Source organism: Homo sapiens, chromosome 2 (genome assembly GCF_000001405.40).
Source record: "Homo sapiens chromosome 2, GRCh38.p14 Primary Assembly".
Classification (NCBI taxonomy): Eukaryota; Metazoa; Chordata; class Mammalia; order Primates; family Hominidae; genus Homo; species Homo sapiens.
In genome coordinates, this window is record NC_000002.12 from 165950528 (window position 1) to 165973903 (window position 23376).

At 41.8% G+C, this 23376-nt stretch overlaps 1 protein-coding gene and 1 long non-coding RNA gene across 5 annotated transcripts in view, besides 3 other annotated features; one reads left to right on the plus strand and one right to left on the minus strand.

The window, feature by feature from the left end:
• Nucleotides 1-3249, minus strand: part of TTC21B (tetratricopeptide repeat domain 21B) — an 80415-nt gene extending 77166 nt beyond the window's left edge. For all 4 annotated transcript variants that reach the window (NM_024753.5, XM_017004967.2, XM_006712761.2 and 1 more), the window contains exon 1: nucleotides 3158-3249. In NM_024753.5, the coding sequence (NP_079029.3) occupies nucleotides 3158-3178 (21 nt within the window). In that variant the 5' untranslated portion in view covers nucleotides 3179-3249. The remainder of the gene's footprint in view (nucleotides 1-3157) is intronic.
• Nucleotides 3100-3499: a silencer, noted in NCBI's record as "silent region_12069". NCBI's record gives its function as "represses an Ori minimal core promoter by ATAC-STARR-seq in GM12878 lymphoblastoid cells {active_cell/tissue: GM12878}" and the evidence as "EXISTENCE:reporter gene assay evidence [ECO:0000049][PMID:35858748]".
• Nucleotides 3100-4013: a biological region, named in NCBI's record as "NANOG-H3K27ac hESC enhancer GRCh37_chr2:166810301-166811050".
• Nucleotides 3264-4013: an enhancer, noted in NCBI's record as "NANOG-H3K27ac hESC enhancer chr2:166810301-166811050 (GRCh37/hg19 assembly coordinates)". NCBI's record gives its function as "activates a minimal SCP1, AML or CMV promoter by ChIP-STARR-seq in naive H9 embryonic stem cells {active_cell/tissue: H9 hESC(naive)}" and the evidence as "EXISTENCE:reporter gene assay evidence [ECO:0000049][PMID:30033119]".
• LOC102724058 (uncharacterized) overlaps nucleotides 6891-23376 on the plus strand; it is a 78983-nt gene continuing 62497 nt past the window's right edge. Inside the window, exon 1 of the long non-coding RNA NR_110598.1 lies at nucleotides 6891-7065. This is a non-coding gene — a long non-coding RNA (uncharacterized LOC102724058). The remainder of the gene's footprint in view (nucleotides 7066-23376) is intronic.

Sequence of the window (23376 nt, forward strand, 5' to 3'; positions counted from 1 at the left end):
CTGGACTCTACAGCTTGTTCAGTAGCAGTGAGAAATACAGGTGACTAAGTGACAGGATTGAAATCTAAGGGTATCTAGACAGCTCTGGTTTGTTTGTTTTGTTTTGTTTTGGAGATTCTGTCACTCAGGCTGGAGTGCAGTGGCGCAATCTCTGCTCACTGCAATCTCTGCCCCCTAGGTTTAAGCGATTCTCCTGCCTCAGCCTCCTGATCTGGGACTATAGGCACACCCCACCGCACCTGGCTAATTTTTGTATTTTTAAGTAGAGATGGGGCTCCCCATGTTGGCCAGGCTGGTCTTGAACTCTTGACTTCAAGTGATCCACCCGCCTGGGCCTCCCAAAGTGCTGAGATTACAGGCGTGAGCCACCACGCCCGTCCGACAGCTCTGTTTTATATAGTCTCTTGCTTCTGGAGGGCTATAGTCCATGTACTTCTCTAGATCAGTTAGGCGACTGTTCTCTGTAATTTTACTCTGCCTCCCTCCTTGTGATCACTGCTCCCTAACCTCCTTTTTAGCCATGTTTCTTAAAAGTGTGCTCCATACCCCATCTCCAGACCCCCACAACACATTTCAGTGAAACACAGTTTTCCTCCAATGCTCCATTCCCTAAAGTTGCAGAATGACTTCTTACTTTGCCACAACTAAGGACACGTTTAATACCTTACTTGACTTCTGCACACTATCACTAAGCATCTATAATCCTCCTGAAAGGCAGTGGCATAGCACCATAAAAAGGACGCGAATTTAAAGGCAAAAAGAATCTCTGGTCCTTCTTACAACGCCTCAGTCTGCTCATTTATAAAATGCTGTTAGTAATGCAAATGTACAGGTCACTGTGAGAATTAATTAAGATATCATAGTATAAGAGTTCTATTCTGAAAAAAATAAGTTCCTCTGCATCCCATATGTTAATGGAATAAAAAAAAAATGTGTCCTGCGCCAAGACCTCTTGTCTATGTTCCAGATTCATATTTCCATTTTCCACCTGCTACCCTGCTACTCATGAATCCTCCCTTCCTATTTGCCCAGTCTCTCTAAGTCTAACCACTTAGTAGGTTCTTCTATTTCTCCAGTCTACCTCCCACTAAACATACCTAATGCTACTGCCTTGGTTCAGGTTAGGTTATTCAATCCAAAACATTTACTGACTGCCTACTAGTACCCAGGCACTGGGCTAGCTACTATGAATAGAAAAATGAGTAAGACATGGTTCCTGTCCCCCCGGAAAACCTACATTTTTCAGATGAGACTGTAATCTGAAGACTAACTGAAATATAATGTAGTAAATGTAAGAAAAGAGCTTATAAACTCCTTTGGGAATGTGGGATAGCAACATTTTGACAGCATTGAAAACTGAATGTGGTGTGAGGGGAGGATGGATGACTAAAATCAAGGGAAAGATTATTGGGGAGGATTTCAGAGCTGACTCTTGAATTGCAAACCCCTCATTCTCCCTCCACACACGTACACGCTCTTCCTATTTCCTTTTCATGATTCTTGAGGAAGGTACAGGAGTTAGGAAGAGGAACTGCAACAACACAGATAACAAGTCATCAATGGTACATTGGGATGGCAGTGGTGATGAAGATGACTAAAAGCCACTCCATACTCTAGAGCAGGGTTTGGCAAACCACACTCTGTGGGCCATATCTGGCTGGCTGGCTGTACAGCCAGTGAACTAAGAATGGTTTTTATATTTTCCAGCTGTCAAGGAAAAAAAAGAAATATTTCATAACATGAAAATTACATGAAAGTCAAATTTCAGTGTTCATAAATAAAGTTTTATTGAAACACAGCCATGCTCATTTAAGTATTGTCTATGGCTGTTTTGAACAAGCCAATTAGATGTGATAGACCATACGGTCCATAAAGTCTAAAATGTGTACTATCTGGCCCTTTGTTGAGAAAGTTTGCTATTCTCTGCTCTGGAGGCTTAAGTGAGACAGAGAGTATTGGATGATGAGGTTGGAGACGAAGGTGGGGTGAAAAGCCTCATATTAAGTACTTGGACTTGAACCTCAAGTCTAAGTAATGAGGAGGCCCATTTTTACATTTTACATTAAAGTGTTTTTATTAAAATGTTCATTTGGGTGGCAGTGCAAATAATACATTTAAGGGAATAAAAAAATGTAAGGATATAGGGGGATAGCTAGAACAGAGGATAATGTAAAACTTCAGGCAGAAAAACAAGACATTTCAGCATTCCCTAACCTCCTACATCGCCAAATTGTCCTCCATCCACTTATCACCATCTCACAGGATACACATTTCATTTACCTACTTGTTGTCTGACTCCTCCTACTCAAATGTAAGCTCCAAGATTGGAAGAGTTTTTCTTGGTTTTATTATTTCAGTGCTTAGAACAGTGCTAGACACATAGGAGGCATTCAGTAAATATTTGTTGAGTCAACTGAATTAGGGTTTTTCCCCAGCATTAATTAGCCTGTAAAATCTGAGAAGGCAGAAACTGTTCAGTTTTGCTCACTGCTATCTCCAGCTTCTAATGGACATACAGTAACCCTTCATAAATATTTGCTGAACGAGTGATTCAGTGAACAAATGAATAGAGAAGACCAACATCCGAAAAGTTATTTTATTTTCAAGCCTCATGTCTTTAACTGTTTTATATCAGCCTTTCTTAAGTTGACCGTCATTAATATTTGCTGAATGAATGAGTCAGTGATAAACAGAGAAGACCATCACCCTAAAATAACGACCCCTCCACTTTTAAGTCTTACGTCTTTAATGGGTTTCATATAATCTTTCTGCGCTCTTTTTACTGTCCAGTGTGGGAGCTGACACTAGTTTGCCTTAAGTCCTTAAAAATCGCACCCGGAGGCGCAGTGTCATAGGTAACCCAAGCTTTCCTAGTAAACATGATACAAAAGTAAACACAACCAACAGCATGGGGACCAGCAATTCAGAAACACCGAGCGGGCGGGCTGCCCAGACCTGGGCTTCCCCAGCAGGGCCCGCGGAGACCGGCCGTGAGCAGAGGCTGCAGGCCCACCCCGCAACCCGAGCAGCCGGGGCACCGCAGGGAAACAGCGGCCTAGCGAAGCCACCCGAGCTCCCTCCGCGCCCCCGGGCCAAAAGGCCGCAAAGGAACTCCGCCCGCCCGCCCGCTCACCCGCTCACCCGCTCACCCGCTCACCTTCAATTCCTGCGAGTCCATGGCTGCCCCGAGGCCGGGCCGCGGGGCTCTGGGGATTGTCTCGCCGCAGCCTAAAGGAAGACGCAGAATTCAGCTCCCCTAGCCTCCCGGAGCGCTCTAGCGCCCCGGGCCCCAGCGGGAGGGGCGGGGTCGCGCCGCGATTGGCTGTCGGAGGGAGAGGCGGGCCTGTGTGGCGGGGATCGTGCTGTAATGGAGCAGGGGCGGCGGGGACCCGGAGGTGAGGGCTGCGAGGGCCGCCCGGGAGGGTCCGGGCTGGGAAAAGGGCCTCCGCCGGAGAGTGCAGCTGGAAAAGGAGGTCACACTGGGAAACGGCTGTCTGAGGACAGTGGGTGGGCGGGCCGAGGAAATGGAATTCAGGAATAAAGGAAACGGAGTATGAAGAAGGGGAAGTCTGTTTCCTGTCACTGGTTGTAAAGGAAGACACCATTTTCTGCACGTTTGTCTGGAGGCGGATTCCCGCAGTGCGGCTCTCAGCAAGGCTCTGCCGGCGCGGGAAAAAGCGGTCAACTTTCACGTGGGCAAGTTGTTTTACGGCCACAAGGTGGCGCAGAAAAAAAAAATCACACGTTCTTAACAGAAATACGGTGCGCTTGGGCCCGTCTTTGCAGGCGTTGCTGCAATCTTTGTTAGAATGTGTGTTCAATTAGCCCTTTTTTACCAGCCCCGATAATAAGAGGGACAAATAAATTAAACTTCCAGAAAATTAGTGTCTTGTTTTCAATGATACTACTGATTTTAAACTGAGAATAAAATGAATCCCAATGCAAATTTTTATGTTTGCACCCCATTAGGCAACTCAATCAGTCACACATAGATTTCTTAAGTCCAGGAAATTAAATGGAAATATAATAGACTAAGATTTTCTATTTCTGCTTAAATAAATATTTAAAATAGTGCATAAGGTCTGAGATTTAAGTGATCTTTGCAGAATCTTTCACGTGGATTCCAAATTTTGATCCTAGTGTTAATTATCTTACTTTAGTTGACATGATACGTAGTTGCCTTTTCCAGATTTTAAGTTTCTTAAGGAGTTTATAAACATTGACTTTTTCCCCATGCCAATAGGTTATGTAAGGACAGTCTTGAGAAAAACGGTAGCTACCATCCTAGGCTTTAAGGTGAAGCAATATTTCTCACCGGTTTCTCTTTAAAGGAATTCACCACGTATTTTCACGAGCAACTTTTTTTTCTTTCCAATATTTATAGTCCAGCTAAATGTCTGTGGTGATGAACAACTGGTGATATCTCTTTGATTTTCAAAGCTGCGGATTAATCCGCACTTGGTATACAGCAAAGAATACCACAGGACCAGGGTGCTCAATGAAGTGTATAATCTTGAACTGTAAACCTTTGGTTATAAGAGAAAAGTTCATCTGTAAGGAAATATCTCAGGATCATGGTTAACAGAACAGATGATCAACCTACCTTTTGGAGATCTTGAAAGTCATATTAATTTAGCCTCGTATTCTCTTCACTGAATTCTGTTCTAAGGTTGAATTATTTAGCACAAAACACCAAGCCTGATGTTTCATAAATGTTTGTTGGATTAAAAGTACTCTGAGATTTGCTTTGACACTCACGGTGACTTGGTGTGCCCTGTGCCCTTACTAGATCTCATGTAAGAAATTTATTTTGGATCTCAGGCCAGGAAAAACTCTTGTCTTTCCTGAAAAATCGATGTGTTCCTTAGCAGTAACATTTTTATCGGCTCACTTTTACTAGCTACAAACTTTTGAGTCTGATATCCATGACCCTTCACCTCATCGTCTTTTCAAGCCTTATCTTCTACCTCCCCTTCAAGGAGCCTTTATTCCGCTCAGTGGGACAAATATTCCTTCTTCTGGTAATGCTTTCCCCTACTTTGTTTTGAGCTCTTTCTTCACCTGAGAAAATCTCCTTCTTCTGAGTTCATTTCAAATTTCATGAAGTCTTTAAGGATCACCATAACTGGATGGGTATAAAAATATCACAGTGTAGTGGCAAGAATACCCTCTTCTGCATCTGAGGTGGAGCTCCTATTACGCTAGCTACTTTTGTGACTTGGGGAAGTAATTTCCCTAAGCCTCATTTTCCTTATTTACTAAAGAAACTAAATGCCTTACAGACATATTAAAACTTCCTGACACATAATAGGCATTGTATAACCAATAGTTTCCATTAAACACGTAGTGCTCTATAGCAGTGGTCCCCAATCATTTTGGCACCAGGGACCAGTTTGGTGGAAGACAATTCACAGAAGATAAATTTTCCATGGACAGGGGTAGGGGAGATGGTTTCGGGTTGAAACTATTCCATCTCAGATCATCAGATTCTTATCTAAGGAGCATACAGCCTAGATCCTTCACATGCACAGTTTATAATGGGGTTTGCATTCGTATGAGAATCTAATGCCTCGCTGATCTGACAAGGAGGTGGAGCTTGGGGTAACGCTCCCTTTCCTGCCCCGCAGCTCACCTCCTGCTGTGTACCCCGTCCTGCTGTATACCCCATCCTGCTGTGTAGCACTGATTTGCAGTCCTCAGATTGGGGACCCCTGCTCTATAAGACTTATTACACTTGCATAGTCCTTGTATTACTAGTTATAGTGCATTTTTGTTTAATGTTCTCTACCAGATGATGAGCACTATAAAGCTAGATAATATAATGTAGCAGTTAACATCTTCGTCTCCAGAAATACGTCATTTTCGTTCAGACCTTAATGTGTCCGGAATTGGTGGGTTCTTGGTCTTGCTGACTTCAAGAATAAAGCCGCGGACCCTCGCGGTGAGTGTTACAGTTCATAAACGCACGCAGACCCAAAGAGTGAGCAGCAACAAGATTTATTGCAAACAGCAAAAGAACAAACCTTCCACAGAGTGGAAGAGGACCCCAGTAGAGTGCCCCTGCTAGCTCAGGTGGCCTGCATTTATTCCCTTATCCGGCCCCACCCACATCCTACTGATTGGTCTGCTTTACAGAGAGCTAATTGGGCTGTTTTACAGAGAGCTGATTGGTCCGTTTTGACAGGATGCTGATTGGTGTGTTTACAAACCTTGAGCTAGACACAGAGTGCTGACTGGTAAATTTACAATCCTTTAGCTAGACACAAAAGTTCTTCAAGTCCCCACCAGATTAGCTAGACACAGAGCACTGATTGGTACCTTTACAAACCTTGAGCAAGACACAGGGTGCTGACTGGTGCGTTTACAAACCTTCAGCTAGACACAGAGTGCTGACTGGTGCATTTACAAACCTTTAGCTAGACATAAAAGTTCTCCAAGTCCCCACCTGACTCAGGAGCCCAGCTGGCTTCACCTAGCGGTTCCCGGCCCGCCGAGACTGCAGCGGAGCTGCCCACCAGTCCCGCGCCACGCGCCCGCACTCCTCAGCCTTTGGGCAGTGGATGGGACCGGGCGCCGTGGAGCAGGGGGCGGCGCCCTTCGAGGAGGCTCGGGCTGGGCACGAGTCCACCGGGAGAGGGGAGGGCTCGCGCATGGCATGACGGGCTGCAGGTCCCGAGCCCTGCCGCGCGGGAGGCGGCTGAGGCCCCGTGAGAATTCGAGCGCCGCAGGGGCAGGCTGGCAGTGCTGGGGGACCCGGTGCACTCTCCGCAGCTGCTGGCTCGGGTGCTAAGCCCCTCACTGCCTCGGGCCAGCGGTGCCGACCCGCCGCTCCAAGTGCGGGGCGGGCGGAGCCCGCGCCCACCTGGAACTCGCGCGGGCCCGCCAGCGCCAACCGCAGCCGCGGTTCCCGCCCGCGCCTCTCCCTCCACACCTCCCCGCAAGCAGAGGGAGCCGGCTCCGGCCTTGGCCAGCCCAGAGACAGGCTCCCACAGTGCAGCGGCGGGCTGAAGGGCTCCTCAAGCACTGCCAGAGTGGACACCGAGGCCGAGGAGACGCCAAGAGCGAGTGAGTGCTGCTAGCAGGTTGTCACCTCTCATTAATACTACTATTCACTGGCTATTCAGTTGGAAAAAGTTATTTAACTTCTCTGTATACTTCAGCTGTAATATCAGACTAACACCTCAGAAAATTGTTAAGAAGACTAAATAAGTTAATATTTAAAGTACAGAGCAGTATTAGGGGTATGGTAAGTACTGAATTACTGTTACCTATAATCACTTGTACTCCCAACTACTCCAGAGTACAGTATTGATCACATAAGTATTTAGAAAGTTTTACAGCATTGATAGTTTTTTTCAATCATATCTGTGTTTGATTTTCTCCTCCTCCAATTCTTATACTGATCCACTTGTAGCTGTATTATTTTATATATTCAAATTAAAGAAAAACACTTAGGAAAACTAGGGAGTTTTGGTAACAAACAAAGTAAAAGTGAATACACTAAAAATAAAACAGAGGTAAGTATATGTCATCATTAAATTTGGGAGGTGAAAATAATGTTAGCAGCTTGAACAGTTTCATTTTATGGAAGAGTAAGATGAAGCCCAAAGCTAAGACCAATAGTTTTCCACCGTCCAATCTAGCCTGCACAACAATTGTGAATAAGAAGAGTGTTTGCCTTTTCTTTCTTTTTAAGGCTTGTTAAATTAAATTAAATTTGGCCTAAAGAAACCTTCATACATACTGCACCATAAGCTATATGTAAACAGACTGAAATGTAACTAAGAGTATGTTTTTTAAACAGCCAAGTTTTGGCCAATCATATCAGCCAATAACAAGTCGCAAACTGCTCAGACATGTTCTAATAAGGCAAATACCAAACTATAACCAATCAGGCTGTTTCTGTATGTGCCTTCCTTTTTCTGTCTGTAGATACTACCTAAAGAAGTTGCTGGGTAGACCTCTCTGAACCTTGACTGGTTCCAAGTGCTGCCCAATTCATGAATCATTTTTTTGCTCAAATAAACTCTGCTAAATTTGTCTCAAAGTGTTCTTTTAACATTATTACTATAAAATTGAAATTATATATAGAAGTTAAAAATGTATGAAATCCAAACTAACTAGCACATAATTCAGTCTCAGAGGCAACATCATGGAACAGTTAGGTTAACTGAAATCAGAATTGCTGAGTTGTTAGAGTTCTGTCCCTCAATAACTTCACAACTTTGGGTAAGTCATTAACTTTTTTAAAAGAAATTACTTTAGGCTGGACACAGTGACTCATGCCTGTAATCTCAGCACTTTGGGAGGGTGAGGTGGGCAGATCACTTGAGGTCAGGAGTTCGAGAACAGCCTGGCCAACATGATGAAACCCCATCTCTACTAAAAATACAAAATTTGCTGGGCGTGGTGGCAGGTGCATGTAATCCCAGCTGCTCCAGAGGCTGAGGCAGGAGAATCACTTGAACCTGGGAGGTGGAGGTTGCAGTGAGCTGAAATCACACCACTGCACTTTAGCCTGGGCAACAGAGTGAGACTCTGTCTAAGAAAAAAATGTATTTTATTGATGCATAATAGATATTTATTATTTCAGTTACATGTGATAATATAGATTCATACTTTATAAAGATCTAATCAGTGTGGTTGGGATCTCATCACTTTAATTATATGTCCTTTGTGCTAGAAACATTCAAATTATTCTAACTATTTTGAAAAGCACAAAAGAATATTGTAAACTTACCCTACTGATCTGTCTCACACTAGGTCTTATTTCTTTTGTCAACTATATGTTTATACACATTAATCAATTTCTCTTCTTTCTGCTACTTCCATACCCTTCTGTCCTCTGGCAACTACCAGTCTACTCCCTATTTTCATGAGATTGATTTTTTTAGCTCCGACATGTCAGTGAGAACACACAATATTTGTCTTTCTGTGCTTGGCTTATTTCACTTTAATATACTGACGTCCAAATCCATCCGTGTTGCTGTAAATGACAAGACTTCATTGTTGTGGCTGAACAATATCACATTGTGTATATATACTAAATTTTCTTTATCCATTCATTCACTGATGGGCAGTTAGGTTGATTCCATATTTTGGCTCTTGTGAATAGTGTTGCAATAAACATGGAAGTGCAGATCTTTTTCAGTATACTGATTTTCTTTCTCTTGAATATATACTCCGTGGAATTGGTGGATCATATGGTAGTTCTATTTTTAGTTTCTTGAGGAAGCTCCATCCTGTTATCCATAATGGCTGTACTAATTTATATTTCCACCAACAGTGTATGAGGGTTCCCCTGTCTCCACATCCTCACCAGCATCCGTTATTGACTGTCTTGTTGATCAAAAGCCATTTTAACTGGTGTGAGATGATATCTCATTATAGTTTTGATTTTCATTTCTCTGATTATTATTGATGAGCAATTTTCCTATCCCTGTTAGGCATGTGTATGTCTTCTTTTGAGAAAAGTGTGTTGAGAGCTTATGTTCATTTTTAAATCAGATATTTTTTTCCTATTGAGTGGTTTGAGCTCCTTATGTATTCTGGTTTTTAATCTCTTCTCAGATGGAGAGCTTATAAATATTTTCTCCTATTCTATGGGTTATCTCTTCACTGTGATGATTGTTTCCTTTGCTGTCCAGAGGATATTTAGCTTGATGTAATCCCATTTATCTGTTTTTGCTTTGATTGCCTATGCTGTTGAGGTCTGACACATACAATTTTTTCCTGTATCAATGTCCTGGAGCATTTCCTCAATGTTTTCTTCTAGTAGTTTCAAAGTTTCAGGTCTTAAAGTCTTTATTTTGATTTGATTTTTGTATATGGTGGGAATTTGGGGCCTAGTTTCATTCTTCTACATTCGGTTACACAGTTTTCCCAGCACCCTTTATTGAAGAGACTATCCTTTCCCCATGGTGTTCTTGGAGCCTTTGTCAAAAATAGGTTGACTGTAAAGGCATGGCTTTACATCTGGGTTCTTTGTTCTGGTCCGTTGGTCTATGTGTCTTTCCTGTACACATTGTATGGTCTATGCCCACACAATGCTGTTTTGGTACTATAGCTTTGTCATAAATTTTGAAGTGAGATAATGTGATGCCTCTAGCTTTGTTCTTTTTGTTCAGGATTGTTTTGTCTATTAGGGGTCTTTTGTGGTTCCAGATAAGTTTTAAGATTATTTTTTTCAATTTCTATGAAGAATTTTATTCTTATTTTGATAAGGATTGCATTGAATCTGTAAATTGCTTTGAATAGGATTGCCATTTTAACAATATTATTCTTCCAATCTATGAGCATGCAATATCCTTCCATTTATTTGTGTGTCCTCTCCAGTTTCGTTCATCAGCGTTTTACCATTTTCCTTATGAAGATCTTTCACATCTTTGGTTAAATTGACTTCTAGGTATTTTATGTTTTTTTAGCTATTGTAAATGTGATTGCTTCTTGATTTCCTTTTCATATTGTTTGCTGTTGGCATGTATAAATGCTACTGATTTTTGTGTATTGATTTTGTGTCTTGCAACTTTACTGAATTCATTTGTCAGTTCTAACAGTTTTTTTGATGGAGTCCAGGATTTTCTAAATTTAAGATCATATCATCTGTGTTCAGGGCTAATTTGACTCTTCCTTTTAAATATGGATGCCCTTTATTTCTTTATCTTGCCTAATTGCTCTAGCCAGGAGTTCCAGTATTATGTTAAAGTGGTGAAAGTAGGCATCCGGCTGGGCGCGGTGGTTCACGCCTGTAATCCCAGCACTTTGGAAGGCTGAGGTGGGTGGATCATGAGGTCAGGAGATCGAGACCATCCTGGCTAACACGGTGAAACCCCGCCTCTACTAAAAATACAAAAAATTAGCCAGGCGTGGTAGCGGGCGCCTGTAGTCCCAGCTACTTGGGAGGCTGAGGTAGGAGAATGGCGTGAACCCGGGAGGTGGAGCTTGGAGTGAGCTGAGATAGCACCACTGCATTCCAGCCTGGGCGACAGAGCGAGACTCTGTCCCCCACAAAAAAAGTAGGCATCCGTGTCTTATTTTAAATCTTAGAGGAAAGGCCTTCAATTTTTCCCTTTTCAGAACAGTGTTAGCCGTGGATTTGTCATATATGGCCTTTATGATTTTGAGGAATGTTCCTTCCATACCCAATTTGTTGAGGGTTTTTATCATGAAGAGATGTCGATTTTTTTTTTTTTTTTTTTTTTTCTGAGGCAGAGTCTCACTCTGTCGCCCAGGCTGGAGTGCAGTGGCACGATCTTGGCTCACTGCAACCTCGGCCTCCCAGGTTCAAGTGATTCTCCTGTCTCAGCCTCCTGAGTAGCTAGGATTACAGGTGCCCACCACCACGCCCGGCTAATTTTTTCTATTTTTAGTCCAATGCCTTTTTTTGCATCTATTGAAGTGATCACATGGATTTTGTTCTTGATCGAGTTAATGGGATGTATCGTGTTTGCATATGTTGAATCATACTTGGATCCCTGGGGCAAATCCCAGTTGATTATGGTGAATGGTCCTTTTAATGTGTGGTTAAATTCAGTTTACTACTATACTGCTGAGGATGTTTGCCTCTATGTTCATCAGTGATATTATCCTATGTTTTTCTTTTTTTGTTGTATCCTTCTTGCTTTTGGTAGCAGTATAATGCTGGCCTTGTAGAATGAGTTCCACAGTATTCCCTCTTCCTCAATTTTTTTTTGAAGAGTTTGAGTAAAATTGGTATTACATTTTCTTTAAATGTTTGGTAGCATTCAGCAGTGAAGCCATCAGGCCCTAGGTTTTTCTTTGATGAGAGACGTTTCATTATGGCTTTTATCTCATTACTCGATACTGGTTTGTTGAAGTTTTGTATTTCTTCATAGTTTAATCTTACTAGGTTGTATGTGTCCAGGAATTTATCTATTTCTTTTAAATTTTCCAAAAGGTTGGTGTATAGTTCTTCATGACAGTCTGTAATGATTCCTTGTATTTCTGTGGTTTCAGTTGTTATGTTCCATTTTTCATTTTTTATTTTATTTATTTAGGTTTTTCTCTTTTTTTTCTAGTCTAGCTAAAGGTTTATTGGATTTTTATCTTTTAAAAAAAAACTTTTCATTTTGTTGATCTTCTTTATTGTTTTTATAGTCTGAATTGTATTTTTTCCTGCTCTGGTCCTTACTATTTCTTTTTGTCAACTAATTTTGGGTTTGATTTGTTCTTGCTTTCCTTGTTTCTTGTGGTGCATCATTAGTTTGTTTATTTGAAGTCTCTCTACTTTTCTGATGTAGACATTTATTGTGGTAAATTTCCCTCTTAGAGCTGCTTAGATTTTGGTATGTTATATTTCCATTTTCATTTATTTCAATAAATTTTCTAATTTTCTTCTTAATTTCTACATTTACCCATTGTTTGTTCTGGAGCATGCTGTTTAATTTCCATGCTGTGTAATTTCATGAAGCTTCTGAGGTTCTCTAATTGATTTCTACTTTTATTCTACTGTGGTCAGAAAAGATACTTCATAGAATTTCTACATTTTGTTTTATTTTATTTATTTATTTATTTTGGAGACAAGGTCTCACTCTGCCACCCAGGCTGGAATACAATCATGCAATTGTAGTTCACTGTTACCTTGAATTCCTGGGCTCAACCAATTCTCTTCTTCTGCTTTGGCCTCCTAAGTAACTAGGACTACAGGCACAAGCTATCACGCTTGGTTGTTTTCTACAATTTGAATTGGTTGGAACCTGTTTTGTGACTTAAGATATTGTTTATTCTGGTGAATGTTCTATGTATTAATGAAAAGAAACAATGTTATTCTGTAGCAGTTGGATGAAATGTTCTGTAAATGTTAGTTAGGCCTTTCAGTATGTAGTTTATCTCCATTATTTCCTTTTTGATTTTCTCTCTTAATGATCTCTTCATTTTTAAGAGTGGGGTGATAAAGTCCCCTACTATTATTGTATTACAATCTATCTCTCCCTTAAGATCTATTAATGTTTGCTGAATATACTTGGATGTTCCAGTGTTTGGTGCACAGATATTTATAATTGTTATATTTTCTTGCTGACTTGACTCCTTTATCATTATATAGTGACCTTTTGTCTCCTTTTACAGTCTTTGATACGTAGGCTATTTTATCTCATATAAGTGTAGCCACTCCTGCTTTTTCTTTGGTTTCCCATTGCATGTAATATCGTTTTCCATCTCTTCACTTTCAGGCAGTATATTTATAGGTGAAGTGTTTTTTTCTGTAGGCAGCACATAGTTGGGTCTTGGCTGTTTATTCAGCCACTGTATGCCTTTTAATTAGAGAATTGAGTCCATTTACATTGAATGCTGTTAATAAGTAAAGGCTACTGACATTTTGTTGCTTGTTTTCTGGTTGTTTCATAACTCCTTCTTCCTTTCCTCCCTTCTTCCCTTCTTCCTTTGTGGTTAAGTAATTTTTCTCTGGTAGAATGCTTTAATTCATTGATTTTCATATTTAGTGAATTATTGGTTTTTGCATTGTGGTTATCATGAGACTTGCAAAAAACATAGATGGAAGTTATTTTAAAGAGAAGACAACTTACCTTACTTATATCAAAAAGAATAGGATAGAAAGAAATAAAAAAAAAATCTACGCTTTAACCCTATTCCCCCACTTTTTGACTTTTAATCGTCTCAATTTGCATATTTTTATATTATCTCTCTCTCTTAACAAGTTGCTGTAGCTATTACTGCTTTTGATAGATTTTTCTTTTGGGTTTTGTGTTAGAGGAATCAGTGAATTGCACACCATGCAGTATTACAGTAATCTGGGTTTGTCTATGTGCTTCATTTTACTGGTAGGTTTTATATCTTCAATTTTTTTGTTGTTGTTTTCCTTTCAGATTATAGAACTCCCTTTAGCATTTCTTTAAAAATGGGTCTGGTGGTGGTCAATTCTCTCAGCTCTTGTTCGGGGAAGACTTTATCTCTCCTTCATATTTGAAAGATAACTTTGCTAATTAAAGTGTTCTTGAATGGCAGTTTTTTTCTTTCAACACTCTGAAAATGTTGGTGCACTCTTTCCTTTCCTGTGTGATTTCCATTGAAAAAAAAAATCTGTTGCCAAAGGAATTGGGGATCCTTTATAAGTTATTTACTTCTTTTCTCTTGCTGCTTTTAGAATTCTCACTTTGTCCTTGACCTTTGAGAATCTGATTATTATATTCCTTGGGGTAGTGTTATTTGGGTCAGATCTGTTTGGTGTTCTCTGACCTTCCTATACCCGAATGTTTCTTTTGAAGTTTTGTGAAGTTATCTGTTATTATTTCTTTAAATAAGCTTTCTACTTCTTGCTCTTGCTCCATTCACTCTTGAACACCAATAATTCTTAGATTTTACTTTTTCAGGTAATATTCTATATCTTGTAAGTGTTCTTCATGCTTTTCATTCTTTTTTTTTATTCTTCTGACTGCATTATCCCACAGCCTGTCTTCAAGATTACAGATTCTTTCCCCTGCTTGATCCATTCTGCTGTTGACAGCCTCTAATGAATTTTGACATTCAGCAAATATATTTCAGTTTCAATATTTCTGTTTTATTTTTTAAAAATTATTCTAATCTCTGTGTTTAATTTATCTGATAAATTTCTGAGCTCCTTTTCTGTGTTAACTTGGAGATCATTGAGCTTTCTTCAAGAGGCTATTTTAAATTGTTGGTCAGAGAGCTCACATTATCACTATGTTGTTAGGTTCCTTGCTTTCGGGAAATCATGGTTCCCTCTTTGCTGTTGTTTTTTGTGGATGTACATCTATGTCTTTGCATTGAATGATTTATTATTTATTTCAGTCTTCTTTTTCTGGCTTGTTTGGGTTTTTATTGGATATATTTGCTTAAAGGTTCTTTACCACTAGGCTCCATCGCTCCATCGCTCAAGCTGGAGTACAGTGGTGCGATCTCTGCTCACTGCAAGCTCTGCCTCCCGGGTTCACGCCATTCTCCTGCCTCAGCCTCCCGACTAGCTGGGACTACAGGTGCCGGCCACCACGCCTGGCTAATTTTTTTTTTTGTATTTTTAGTGGAGACGGAGTTTCACCATGTTAGCCAGGATGGTCTCAATCTCCTGACCTCGTGATCTGCCCGCCTCGGCCTCCCAAAGTGCTGGGATTACAGGCGTGAGCCACCGCGCCCGGCCCAGGCTCTTGCTTTTTATCCAACTGTTGCTTTCTCATACACTGGGCCTTCCTAATCAGCCCATCCACTTGTCGGAATTAGCAAAATGAAAACAGCTGGAGCTCACGCCTCAGGATCCCTCTTCAGAAATTTATTTATAACTGTGCTTTAATTTGTGGCAGTATGTTTCTTTCCCCAAATGTTTATTTTGAGAATATTCAAACATACAGAAAAATTGAAGCAGAGTATAATGAATGCCTCATGCTCATCACCGGAGAACATTTTAGAAATGCTATTTTGCATTGCTCTTTATATTTTTCATTCTCTGTTTCAAGTAGATAGCCAGGCTATTTGTATTTTTACAGCAGGATAAAAGAAAAAGCCTGCTGTGCTTTAAAACTGTGCAGCCCAATAAGGTAGCCACTGGTCACATGAGGCTGTTTAAATTTACATTAAAATTAGATGTAATTAAAAACTGATTTGTTGCACTACCCACATTTTAAATGCTCAGTGGGCACATGTGGCTAGTGGTTACTGAATTGGACAATATAGGTATATAGCATTTTTATCCTCTTAGGAAGTTCTACTGGACACCACTTTAAAAGACATTTAGGTCTTTTATAAAAGACTAAATTTGTTAAAGAAATAAATCTGCGTTTCTTGGAGGGCAGGAAGAGATAGAGGAGTACCTCTGAAGCAAGAGAGGGAGGAGCAGTTTCCACAACTGGGAAAAGGATAAAAGCCGATAGGTCCTGTAATTTTTAGGGATCCAGCTGCTCGTCTGTAGCAGTGCACCCAGAGAAGACAAAATCTCAGATAAATGGTTGTGTGGTATGCCCAGGAGAGCTGAATCTAGGACACAAACCTCAAGGGTCCACTTTAATTTGGCAGTAGGGAGTCCACTAGAGGCTCTAATAGAAGGAAAGGTCAAGAAATTTATCCCATTTTCTGAGCACTGAGTGATATGGCTTGGCTGTGTCCCCACCCAAATCTCAACTTGAATTGTATCTCCCAGAATTCCCCTGTGTTGTGAGAGGGACCCAGGGTGAGATAATTGAATCATGGAGGCCAGTCTTTCCCATGCTGTTCTCGTGATAGTGAATAAGTCTCAGAGGATTTGATGGATTCATCTGGGATTTCTTTTTTTTTTTCTTTTTTTTTTTTTGAGATGGAGTCTCACTCTGTCGCCCAGGCTGGAGTGCAGTGGCGTGATCTGGGCTCACTGCAAGCTCCGCCTCCGGGGTTCATGCCATTCTCCTGCCTCAGCCTCCAGAGCAGCTGGGACTATAGGCGTCTGCCACCATGCCTGGCTGATTTTTCTGTAGTTTTAAAGAAAGAGAGGGGGTCTCACCGTGTTAGCCAGGATGGTCTCGATCTCCTGACCTTGTGATCCGCCCACCTCAGCCTCCCAAAGTGCTGGGACTACAGGCGTGAGCATCAGGGATTTCTGCTTCTGCTTCTTCCTCATTTTTCTCTTGCTGCCACCATGTAAGAAGTACCTTTCACCTCCTGCCATGATTCTGAGGCCTCCCCAGCCATGTGGAACTGTAAGTCCAATTAAATCTCTTTTTGTTCCCAGTTTTGGGTATGTCTTTATCAGCAGTGTGAAAATGGACTAATACAGTAAATTGGTACTAATAGAGTGAGGTGCAGCTGAAAAGATACCCAAAAATGTGGAAGTGACTTTGCAACTGGGTAACAGGCAGAGGTTGGAACAGTTTGGAAGGCTCAGAAGAAGACAGGAAAATGTGGGGAAGTTTGGAACTCCCTAGAGACTTGTTGAATGGCATTGACCAAAAACCAGATGGCAACATGGACAATAAGGTCCAGGGGTGGTCTCAGATGGAGATGAGAAACTTCTTGGGAACTGAAGCAAAGATGACTCTTGTTATGTTTCAGCAAAGAGATTGGTGGCATTTTGCCCCTGCCCTAGAGATTTGCGGAACTTTGAACTTGAGAGAGATGATTTAGGGTATCTGGCAGAAGAAACTTCTAATCAGCAAAGCATTCAAAAGTTGACTTCAGTGCTGTTAAAAGCATTTCATTTTAAAAGGGAAACAGAGCATAAAAGTTGCAGCCTGACGAATGCAGTAGAAAAGAAAAACCCATTTTCTGAGAAGAAATTCAAGCCAGCTGTAGAAATTTGCTTAAGTAGCCAGGAGCCTAATGTTAATCCCCAAGACCACGGGGAAAATGTCTCCAGGCCATAGCAGAGACCTTCACAGCAGCCCCTCTCATCAGAGGCCTGGAGGTCCAGGAGGAAAAAGTGGTTTTGTGGGCCGGGCCCAGGGTCCCCATATGTGTGCAGCCTAGGGACTTGGAGCCCTGTGTCCCAACCATTCCAGCCATGGCTGAAAGGGGTCAATGTAGAGCTCAGGCTATGGCTACAGCGGTTAGAAGCCCCAATCCTTGGCAGCTTCCATGTGGTGTTGAGTCTGCAGCTACACAGAAGTCAAGAATTGAGGTTTGGGAACCTCTGCTTAGATTTCAGAAGATGCATGGAAATACCTGGATACCCAGGCAAAAGTTTGCTGCAGGGGCAGGGCTCTCATGGAGAACCTCTGCCAGAGCAATGCAGAAGGGAAATGTGGGGTTGTAGGCCCCACACAGAGTCCCTACTGGGGCACTGCCTAGTGAAGGTGTGAGAAGAGAGCCACCATCATCCAGACCCTGGAATGTTAGATCCACCAACAGCTTGCACCATGAACCTGGAAAAGCCACAGACACTCAACACCAGCCCGTGACAGCAGCCGGGAGGGAGGCTGTACCCTGCAAAGCCACAGGGACAGAGCTACCCAAGGCCATGGGAACCCACCTCTTGAATCAGCGTGACCTGGATATGAGACCTGGAGTCAAAGGAGATCATTTTGGAGCTTTAAAATTTGACTGCCCTGTTGGATTTCGGCCGTGCTTGGGCCCTGTAACCCCCTTCTTTTGGCCAGTCTCTCTCATTTGGAATGGCTGTATTTACCCAATACCTGTACTCCCATTGTATCTAGGAAGTAACTAACTTGCTTTTGATTTTACAGGCTCATAGGTGGAAGGGATTTGCCTTGTCTCAGATGAGACTTTGGATTGTGGACTTTTGAGTTAATGCTGAAATGAGTTAAGACTTTGGGGGACTGTTGGGAAGGCATAATTGGTTTTGAAATGTGAGGACATGAGATTTGATGGGCCAGGGGTAGAAAGATATGGTTTGGCTGTGTCCCCACCCAAATATGAACTTGAATTTTATCTGCAGAATTCTGTCATGTTTTGGGAGGGACCCAGGGGGAGGTAATTGAATCAAGGGGGCCAGTGTTTCCTGTGCTATTCTCGTGATAGTGAATAAATCTCACGAGATCTGATGGGTTTATCAGGGGGCTTTGCTTTTGCTTCTTCCTCATTTTTATCTTTCTGCCACCATGTAAGAAGTGCCTTTCACCTCCCACCGTGATTCTAAGGCCTCCTCAGCCATGTGGAACTGTAAGTCCAATCAAACCTCTTTTTGTTCCCAGTTTCAGGTATTTCTTTATCAGCAGTGTGAAAGTGAACTAATACACCAAGTAAGCCTGTGGATATGGTTGATTTCTAGAGAGAAAGATATGATACTGAGTAAGAATTAGTTTCTAGGCAGTCTAGTGTCCGTTTGGGATTTCATCATGAATAAAGAGAAGAAATTTGGCAACTGAGTTTCAAGCTCACTTAAAAACATAATAAAAGTTATCTTTGGAAATTATTTTCAACACAGTGTACAAACATATTTACATAAAAAGATAATGTACATATTTGTGGCCACTGGGGGACATTGTTCCCTCATACAAAAGACAAAGAAGATTTTGAAGCAGTGGTTCTCAAACATGAGCATACATCAGAATGACTTGGAGGACATTTCATCTAGACTCTTAGCATTTTTCAAGACTATGATTTACTGTTAACTACAGTTAACTTGTTGTAGAACAAATTGTTCTCACGACAAAAATGAAAAGTATGTGAGGTAATGCATATGTTAATTACTAGATCTATTAATTCCACAATGTATATACACTTGAAAACAATATGTCGTACATGGTAAATACACATAATTTTATATGTCAAGTTAAAAATTAAATAAAATAATAAAGATAATGAACATTTAAAAAAATCACTTGAAAGACTTGTTAAAACACAGACTGCTGGACCCCTACCTGTAGAGGTTCTAATTCAGTGGAGATGCTGGGAAGGAGACAAAAATATAAATTTTTAACAAGTTCCCATGTGATGCTGTTGCTGTTGGTCTGGGGACCACACTTTGAAAGCCACTGCTTTAGTAAAACTTTTAAAATATAGTATTAAGACTATTTATTGATCAAACTTACTTCACCATGAGAATATTATAATGAACACAAAGAACAGTCTGGATGTACTGATAGGTGGCTTTTATCTGGCATAAGAAGAATGTGTGCAATTATTCTATTTTTAGATGGCAATAGTGCTATAGAGCATTATACAAGGTTATAGTTTCTATATAGTTAAAGAGAAGGTGTACAGTGGATGGGGCACAGCAATGATGTGCAAGATCAAAAAACAGAACCGCTTCTGAGACTAAATTAGCTTAGGTTTAGACAGAGCCTAGTCCCCAAAATATTGGTATAGGAAAACCTCTCAAGGTGTGTACCTGGGAGACTTCCTGTTCCAAAATGTTTGTGTAGACACAGGTTTCCTTCACTCTTCATTCCCCCCACCCCACAAAACCAAAAGAAATATACAGCCCTGAGATTTCACCAGTGACTTCCAGAAATTCAAATGTGAGGATAAATCAGTTCCTGAGGACATAGAGAAGTAAAAAAATTCTGAGCAGATGGTAAGAGAATCAAATTTTCATATCCGAAATGCCCCTTCCTAATATCTGCCCTGCACCAATTTGCAGAAAATGTCCCTTGATTCACAGTTTCTGCACTGGATAAGGTGAGATCAAGATGAACAACCAGCTTTCCTACCATCTTGGGTTCCCTGGCAGGAGACCTATTCATGCCTCAATCCACAGCAAGTATTGTGAGTGTCTGGAAGGAGAGAACAGCCAGAGACAAGGAGAGAAGGTGGAACTACCATTCTTAGTGCTTGAAACTCTACTCTGTACTTAGGCCAAAGGAGATGCTTTGGAGGTACATGTGGCTGCTCACCAGCACCATGCTGTAGGAGGTACATGTCACAGGTCCCCTGAGCACAAATCCCCAGCCAGCCTTTTTATACGACCAGGATATCCCCTTTCAAATCTCCCACTGCAGATGGGCAGTGCTCTGATTGTTTGCTAGTGCAAAGGCAAACCTGAGTTTAAGGTGCCATCTAGTCCTGAAAGGAGGAAGTGACCAAGTGAGAAAAAAGTATAAGATATTGAACAGGTAATTTAAGAAGAATCTCTAAGTTAACATCCCATCCCCAATTAAAACCAAAACAAGCCAGACAGAGAAGACTAAAGTAATCCTTTAATGCAAAGACGTAAATATACATCCACAAGAAACAACAGGAAACAGGAAACCATGAACAACACAAATGGACAATGTAAAGAACCAGTGATTGACCCTAATGAGATGACAGTACATCAAATACCTGACCAAGACCTCAAAATAATAGTTTTAAGGAAACTCACTGGTATCTAAGATAACACAGAAAGGGAACTCAGAAATTTATCAGAGAAATTAAACATGGAGGTTGAAATAAAAAAAAAGCCAGCAGAAATCTTGGAACTGAGAAATATATCTGCTGAGCTCAAAAATTTACTGCAGGCTCTCAACAGCTGAATGGATTAAACAGAGGAAAGAATCAGTGAACTAAAAGACAGGCTATATGAAATCACGAGGAAAAAAAAATGAAAAGCAAGATAGAGAATATTACACAGGGTAGCTGGCATGATGGCCGAATAGGAACAGCTCCAGTCTGCAGCTCCTGGCGAGACCAACACAGAAGGCGGATGATTTCTACATTTCCAACCGAGGTACCCAGTTCATCTCACTGGGACTGGTTAGACAGTGGGGTGCAGCCCACGGAGGGAGAGCAGAAGCAGGGTGGGACATCGCCTCACCTGGGAAGGGCAAGGGGCCGGGGAACTCCTTCCAGTAGCCAAGGAAGCCCTGAGGGACTGTACTATCCAGCCCAGATACTATGCTTTTCCATTGGTTTTTGCAACCCAGAGACCAGGATATTCCCTTGTGTGCCTACACCACCAGGGCCCGGGGTTTCAAGCACAAAACTGGGCGGATGTTTGGGCAGACACTGAGCTAGCCGCAGGAGTTTTTTTTTCATACCCCAGTGGCACCTGGAACTCCAGCGTGATAGGGCTGTTCACTCCCCTGGAAAGGGGGCTGAAGCTAGGGAGCCAAGTGGTCTCACTCAGTGGGTCCCACTCCCATGGAGCCCAGCTCTCACTGCCAGCACAGCAGTCTGTAGTTGACCTGGGATGATAGAGCTTGGTGGTGGCAGGGGCATCTGTCATTACTGAGGCTTATGTAGGCAGTTTTCCCCTCACAGTGTTAAAGAAGCCACTGGGAAGTTCGCACTGCGGGAAGTTCAGACTGTATGAAACTCACTACAGCACAGCAAAGTGCCTGGGGCCAAACTGCCTGTCTAGATTCCTCCTCATTGGGCAGGGCATCTCTGAAAGAAAGGCAGCAGCCTCAGTCAGGAGCTTATAGATAAAACTCCTATCTCCCTGGGACAAGGCACCTAGGGGAAGGAATGGCTGTAGGCACAGCTTCAGCAGGCTTACACATTCCTGCCTGCTGGCTCTGAAGAGAACAGCAGATCTCCCAGCACAGTACTCAAGCTCTGCTAAGGGACAGACTGCCTCCTCAAGTGGGTCCCTGACCCCTGTGGCTCCTGACTGGGAGAGACCTCCCAGGAGGGGTTGACAGACACTTCATACAGGATAGGTCCTGCTGGCATCAGGCAGGTGCCACTCTGGGATGAAGCTTCCAGAGGAAGGAGCAGGCAGCAATCTTTGCTGTTCTGCAGCCTCTACTGGTGATACCCAGGCAAACAGGGTCTGGAGTGGACCTCCAGCAAACTCCAGCAGACCTGTAGAAGACGGGCCTGACTGTTAAAAGGAAAACTAACAATCAGAAAGCAGTAACATCAACATCAAAAAAAAAAAAAAAAAAAAAAAAAGGATCAGCACCAAAGATCAAAGGTAGATAAATCCACTAGATGAGGAAAAACCAGCCCCAAAATGCTGGAAATTCCCAAAACCAGAACACCTCTTCTCCTCCAAATGATCGCAACTCCTCTCCAGTGAGGGCACAAAACTGGATGGAGAATGAATTTGACAAGTTGACAGAAGTAGGCTTCAGAAGGTGGGTAATAAGAAACTACTCGGAGCTAAAGGAGCATGTTCTAACCCAATGCAAGGAAGCTGAGAACCGTGATAAAAGGTTACAGGAACTGCTAACTAGAATAACCGGTTTAGAGAAGAACATAAATGACCTGATGGAGTTGAAAAACAGCATGAGAACTTCGTGAAGCATACAGTATCAATAGCCAAAGTGATCAAGTGGAAGAAAAGATATCAGAGATGGAAGATCAACTTTATGAAATAAAGCGTGAAGACAAGATTAGAGAAAAAACAATGGAAAGAAGTGAACAAAGCCTCCAAGGAATATGGGACTATGTGAAAAGACCAAACCTACGACTGATTAGTGTACCTGAAAGTGACAGGGAGAATGGAACCAACTTGGAAAACACACTTCAAGATATCGTCCAGGAGAACGTCCCCAACCTAACAAGACAGGCCAACATTCAAATTCAGGAAATACACAGAACACCACTAAGATACTCCTCAAGAAGAGAAACCCCAAGATACATAATTGTCAGATTCTCCAAGGTTGAAATGAAGGAAATAACGTTAAGGGCAGCTAGAAAAAAAGGTCAGGTTACTTCCAAAGGGAAGCCCATCAGAGTAACAGCGAATCTCTCTGCAGAAACCCTACAAGCCAGAAGAGAGTGGGGGCCAATATTCAACATTCTTAAAAGAATTTTCAACCCAGAATTTCATATCCAGCCAAACTAAGCTTCATAAGTGAAGGAGAAGTAAAATCACTTACAGACAAGCAAATGCTGAGAGATTTTGTCACCACCAGGCCTGCCATACAAGAGCTCCTGAAAGAAGCACTAAATATGGAAAGGGAAAACCGGTACCAGCCACTGGAAAAACATACCAAAATATAAAGACCAACGACACTATGAAGAAACTGCACGAACAAATATGCAAAATAAACAGATAGCATCATGATGACAGGATTAAATTTACACATA